Here is a 6,753-nt window from a genome sequence, read left to right on the forward strand (position 1 = left end):
TCAATATTTGCTATATTTCTGTGAGTTTTTGCTGTAAATCAGCAATAACTATGTGCTGACTCTTTTGTATCTCAACCAGTTTTTTTATCCCTTTGCAAGTTCCAGATATAGGACTAGTGCACCCCAGATGGGTCTTCATCTTCTCCTATAACATCATAGGAACAACAAAGATGTCTCTGGGCCGGGTATGGTGGCTCACATCTGTACTCCCAACACTTTAGGAGGCTGAGGCAGGCAGATCCCTTGAGCCCAGGAGTTTGAGACCAGCCTGGGAAACATGGTGAAACTTCACTTCTACAAAAAATACAAAAAGTAGCCCGGCGTGGTGGCATGTGCCATGTAGTCCAGATACTCAGGAGGCTGAGGTGGGAGGATTGCTTGAGACCAGGAGGTCGAGGCAGTGAGCCCTGTTCGCGCCACTGCACTCCAGCCTGAAGGGCAGAGAGAGACCCTGTTTCCAAAAACAAACAAACCAAAAAAAAAAAAAAGATGTTTCCAGTATAACAATTCTTCATCTTCCATTCCAGCTTCAGCACTGTAAAACGCTATATGTTAAATTTAAAATGACCATGTTAACAACATAACGTCCTATTTCAGAAACTTTAAGCTTACAGAAATCTTAAGGCCGGGCGCGGTGGCTCACACCTGTAATCCCAGCACTTTGGGAGGCCGAGGCGGGTGGATCACGAGGTCAGGAGATGGAGACCATCCTGGCTAACATGGTGAAACTGCGTCTCTACTAAAAATACAAAAAAATTAGCCAGGCGTGGCGGCGGGCGCCTGTAGTCCCAGCTACTCCGGAGGCTGAGGCAGGAGAATGGCGTGAACCCGGGAGGCGGAGCTTGCAGTGAGCCGAGATCATGCCACTGCACTCCAGCCTGGGCGACAGAGCGAGACTCCGTCTCAAAAAATAAATAAATTAAAAAAAAATTATATAATAAAAAAAATCTTAAGCATTTCACCTGTGCACCAACATGAAAGTTTAGGCTGTCTGCTTAATTTCATGTACAACAATCTTAGACTACTTATGGCTTTAGAGCATCAAAATTTAATAGATGCTTCTTAAAATCAAAGGTAATAGACTTTTTGATACAAAAACTGTCTGGTTGTGCTTTTTTTTTTTTTAAATTCCACACAAAACCATAGTCAAAGCACAATGCCATTTAGCCTGTGAGTCCCCAAAGCTATGCACAGAATTGAATTATTATGCAGAAAATGTCAACTTTGTAGTTAACCACAGCCTTTAGGGGAGAAAGACAGTAGGATCATAGCTTTTGTATGTGTTTATTTGTGTGCCCATGAGTGGTTGTGTGTGTGTGTGTGTGTATGTTTCACTGAAGCACTCCTCCAGAGAGTGACCCATCTGATAAGACATCCTCTGTTCATTTGTTATTCATAAATAAATGGCTTGTTTCTGGAATTTTTTTAAAGCACACAGCTAGTGGATGCTAAAAACAACCTAGAAAGGAGTTAGGAAGTTAAACTAAAAAGATGAATTTAATGTAATAACCATAGCATACTACCATTCTCTCTTTTTTCTACCCACAACATTTATTTGTGCAACTATATGGCTGGCCATTTGACTGCTAATGTTTCAGACCAGTATGGCCAAAATACATCACTCTATTTCAGAAAAGAGAGAGATTGTGCCTAATACTTACAGATGTAAAGTAACCAGTAACTATGCTTATGAACCAATTCTACAGAAATATCAGGAAACAACTAACTGGGCCTAACAACAGAACTAATGTACAGAGATTTAATAGGCCTTTTACGGGAAGGAGAAACGGCAATATGAGAACTTACTATGTATCCTAATAAAAGTCTCATTATCTCACCCACAGATTTATTTTCAATGAAAAGCCTACCTGAGGAGTTCTGTACATAAGTTTTCTATAAAACATTTTATGAAACCACTTAGCCAGCCCAGAGATTCTCAATAAATTATATAATAACATCTGGGGTAACAAATCTCTATCCTCAAAGCTGCCATTTGATAGCATAGAAAGCACGCACTTAAATAGTAGAAGACAATAAAAAATGCCAGAGCTCCTATCAGAAATACTTTGAAGTTTCTCTGATGAAGATTTCTTTAAAGGTTTTCTTTTCACACTAAGGAGATGGTTATATTTTGCTAAAACTCAATGACTTTTTTGCACAAAGTATAGTTGGCCCTCTGCATCTGTGGATTCAACCAACCTCAGAAAATATAGAATAAAAAATGGATGGTTATATCTGTACTAAACACATACAGACTTTATTTCTGGTTATTATTTCCTACACAATACAGAATAACAACTATTTACATTTAGAATATATCTAAAAATGCTTAAACAAAAAATTGTCAATAAGTCAACTGTCCCTATACAAATGGCCAATGGGTATATGAAAATGTAGTCAACATCACTAATCATCAGGGAAATGCAACTCAAAACCACAGTGAGAGATCATCTTACCCCAGTTAGAATGACTGTTATTAAAAAGATGAAAGATAACAAGTGCTGGCGAGGATGCGGTAAAAAGGGAAGTCTCATACACTGTTGGTGGGAAGATATATTAGTGCAGCCACTATGGCAAACAGTGCAGAGAGTTCTCAAACTACCATACGATCCAGCAATTCCACATGTATCCACAGGAAAGGAAATCAGTATATACCTGCACTTTCATGCTTATTGCAGCACTACTCACAATGGCAAAGATAGAGAATCAGCCTAAGTGTCCATCAACAGACAGATGGATAAAGAAAATGCAGTATTTATACATAATGGAATACTTATTCAGCCATAAAAAAGAATGAAATTGGCCAGGCATGGTGGCTCATGCCTGTAATCCCAGCACTTTGGGAGGCCAAGGCAGGCAGATCACAAGGTCATGAGATCGAGACCAATCTGGCCAATATGATGAAACCCTGTCTACACTAAAAATACGAAAATTAGCTGGGCATGGTGGCGGGTGCTTGCAGTCCCAGCTACGTGGGAGGCTGAAGTAGGAGAATCGCTTGAACCCGGGAGGCGGAGGTTGCAGTGAGCCAAGATCGCATCACTGCACTCCACCTGGGTGACACAGTGAGACTCCATCTCAAAAAAAAAAAAAAAAAAGAAAGAAATCCTGTCATATGCAGCAATATGGATGGGATTATGTTATTATGGAATTATAGGTGGAATTTCATCATTATGCTAATGAAATAAGCCAAGACAAATATCACATGTTCTCACTCATATATGGGAGCAAAAAAGTTGATCTCCTGGAGGTAGAGAGTAGAATGATAGATACCAGAGGCTAGGAAGGGTGTGTAGGTTGACGGAGGGGATGAAGAGAGGTTGGTTAATGGGTACAAACATACAGTTAAAAGGAATAACTACAGACCTACAGATAGATGGAATAAATCTTAATGTTCAGTAGCAGAGAAGGGTGACTATAGTTAATGACAATGTATCATATATTTTAAAATAGCTAGAAAAGAGGATTTAAAATGTTCCCAACACATAGGAATGATAAATACTTGAGGTGATGGATACCCCAGATACCCTGACCTGATCATTATACATTCTATGCATGTAAGAAAATGTCACATGTACCCCATACATACCTGCAAATATTACATATCAATTTTAAAACTAGGCCTGGCAAGATGGCTCATGTCTGTAATCACAGCACTTTGGGAGGCTGAGGTGGGAGGATCACTTGAGGCCAGGAGTTCGAGACCAGCCTGGGCACCACACTGAGACCCCCATCTCTACAAAAATAAAAATAAAAATAAAAAAAATAGCCAGGCATGGTGGCACATGCCAGTAGCCCAGCTACTCGGGAGGCTGAAGCAGAAAGATCACTTGAACCAAGGAGGTCGAGGCTACGGTGAGCTATGATTGCACCAGGGCACTCCAGCCTGAGCAACAGAGTGAAACCCTTTTTCAAAAAAACATTTTTTTTTAAATAAGTCAACTGTCCACACAAAATAATCCCTTAGACAACTTTCAGCTTCTTAAAAGTGGTCTATCCTGGGCATCCCCTTTGGCTAATTTAACACAAGCCAGCTTGCCTTAAACAGCGCGGAGGTCATACTCATAACATTTTCTTTATTCTTATGTTTATTGGAGGCAAAGACACAAAATTCTCCTTTGCATAGAGAAAAATAACTAAAACCCCCATCCAAAGGCAGTTGACTGCGGAGAGGTCTCTAATGACCTAGAACTCATGGGAAAATGCAGACTCCATCAGGCCCAGCTGAAGACAACCGGGTAGTTTTTGTTTTTTAACAGCTTTATGGCAGTGTAATTGACATACAGGAGAAACAAAAACAAAAACAAACAAAAAAACCCTGCATATATTTAGTGTATACAATTTGATGAGTTTAAACACCGGACAGACATTTTTAAACTCGTTTTTCAGTTGAATGTGCCGCACACCGAGGTTTGGAAACCACCCGTGAACTTCTATCCCAATCCACCCGGACATAAGGGAGCTGATGGCCCAGGCCCGCGCCTTCCAGCGGGGCAGGCCCAGCGGGGACCAGTTCGGCAGGCGCCTCCCCCAGGGTCTAGGATACCTGCTGGAAAGCTCGCAGCAGGGCCCGCTCCCGGTCCTGGGCAGGCCCAGGCGCGTCAAGACGCCGCGGCTACCTCTGCGGAGCGCGGCCGCTCGGCCACCAGCCCCTTCCCGCCCCCCGAGCTCCGCGGCACTGGAGTCCCCGGGCGGTGCCATGCGTCCCTGGAGCGCACGACACTTTCGGGCCCTGGGGACCCCGGGAGGCCGGGATCTGGCCTGGGGTGGAGGGCGAGGCCAGTCGGCCCCCACCTGCTCACCGGGCAGACTGTACCCGGGCAACGGCTCCCCGCAGCTCCGGCTTTTTGCCTGAAGCCCCCTGCAGGCAAATTCCGCGTCGCGCGGGCCCGCGGGCGCGCTGCAGTCTCCGAGCCCCAGGAAGCAGAGACCCAGGTAGGCAAAGCCACCGCCTGGCCGCGTCAGCTCATGTGGGCCTTGAGTCCAGCATCGCGGCCACCTGAAGGAGGAGTGGCAGTGAGCCCTGGGCAGCACAGACCACCACGTGCCCAGAAACCAGGGATGTTCCTGTCTCCAAACACCCACTCGCGAATCCCTTTAGCTCTTGGTTCAGCCAAGAAAGCTACCAAGCCGCGTGGCTCAGAAGCAGCGCCTCGTGGGTCACTTTCTGCAGGCTCTGCCTGGGAAACCGAGTTCTTGGAGCCTGGAGATGTTTCTCTAGGCTGACACACCCCTCTCAGGGGCGCCGTCTGGGGACGCCACCCTCCCCATGTCTCCTTCCTGTCTGTTCATCCACAGTCTGAGAACTTCTCTAGTTCCTCTAGTGTCCCGCCAGCCCAGCTGAGGCTCTCCAGGGAAGGTAGTGGTGTCTGCAGGGGTGCGAGATCCTCCTCTGCAGCCCTGACTACTCAGCCTAGAGGGGCTTACTGAGGGGTAGAAATCCGAATTTGCATGCAAGGCAGCCGCGGCCGTGTGAGCAACCTCCTCTGAAAGCTTCTGGAAGAATGTCTGACTTGTGTAACATTCCTGAGACTTCCTTTTTTTCTTTCATTCTTTTTTTAGAGATGGGGTCTGGCTGTGCTGCCCAGGCTGGTCTATAACTCCTGAGCTCAAGCAATCCTCGAGCCTCAGCCTCCCCAGTAGCTACGACTACAGACATGAACCATCACGTCCAGCTAATTTTTAAATTTTTTTGTAGAGAAAGAGTGTCACTATGTTTCCCAGGCTGGTCTTGAACTCCTGGCCTGAAGCAGTCCTCCCACCTGGGGCTCTCAAAGTGCTAAGATAACAGGGGTGATAAACCACCCCCGCCTGGCCCTTTAATACTTCTTTAGTATCAGATTTCCAAAGCACCTCTCTTCAAGCCTTAGAAGATTTGCAAGAAGACCAAAGAAGCACAATGACATCATGATGAACAGGAAAACGGGGCTGCACTGACACCGCCTCAAATTCCAGTCAGTTCTAATTTTGAGGCCAAGCTATATAGATCCATAAATGATGCCCACTGCTTTGCCCACCACACACATTATCTTTTTTGTGTGTGTGTGACAGACTCTCGCTCCGTCATCCAGGCTGGAGTGCAGTGACATGATCTTGGCTCACTGCAACCTCTGCCTCCTGGGTTCAAGCAATTCTCCTGCCTCAGCCTCCCAAGCAGCTGAGATTATAGGTGCCCACCACCAGGCCCGGCTAATTTTGTATTTTTAGTCGAGATGGGATTTCACTAAGTATTTTTCTTTTCTCAATTCTGTTATGGTAAAATCAATCAAGTTATGCTAAAAATCAGTCAAGCTGTGCTAAAAAAAAAATCAATCAAGTTATGCTAAAAATCAATCAAGCTGTGCTAAAAAAAATCAATCAAGTTATGCTAAAAATCAGTCAAGCTGTGCTAAAAAAAAAAGTCAATCGAGTTATGCTGTAACTGCTCCCTGGGAAATACTTACGTCAAAAAAAAAAAAAAACTAAACATATACTTTCTGACTGCCAAATACCTGACTCTAATTGTGTAGGTCACCTAAACCAGAACATCTTATACCTTGCATTTCATGAAATTAGAACAACTTATAGAAAGGATGTTTTTGCTACATTTCAGGCAGTAACAATCCAAGTGCTTTTTAAAGGATTTTTGCCAGTTAAAAGCTTAAGCTTTTGTAATCACAGCTAAGCACATGCTCTCTCTCTTCTCTCTCTAATACACACACACACACACACACACACACACACTCACAAAATGAATCTCATTAAGCACTTTTT

General features: G+C 44.3%; 1 annotated feature.

Moving 5' to 3' along the window:
• Positions 5,195-5,254: an enhancer, noted in NCBI's record as "active region_3164". NCBI's record gives its function as "activates an Ori minimal core promoter by ATAC-STARR-seq in GM12878 lymphoblastoid cells {active_cell/tissue: GM12878}" and the evidence as "EXISTENCE:reporter gene assay evidence [ECO:0000049][PMID:35858748]".

Source organism: Homo sapiens, chromosome 10 (genome assembly GCF_000001405.40).
Source record: "Homo sapiens chromosome 10, GRCh38.p14 Primary Assembly".
NCBI classification, from domain to species: domain Eukaryota; kingdom Metazoa; phylum Chordata; class Mammalia; order Primates; family Hominidae; genus Homo; species Homo sapiens.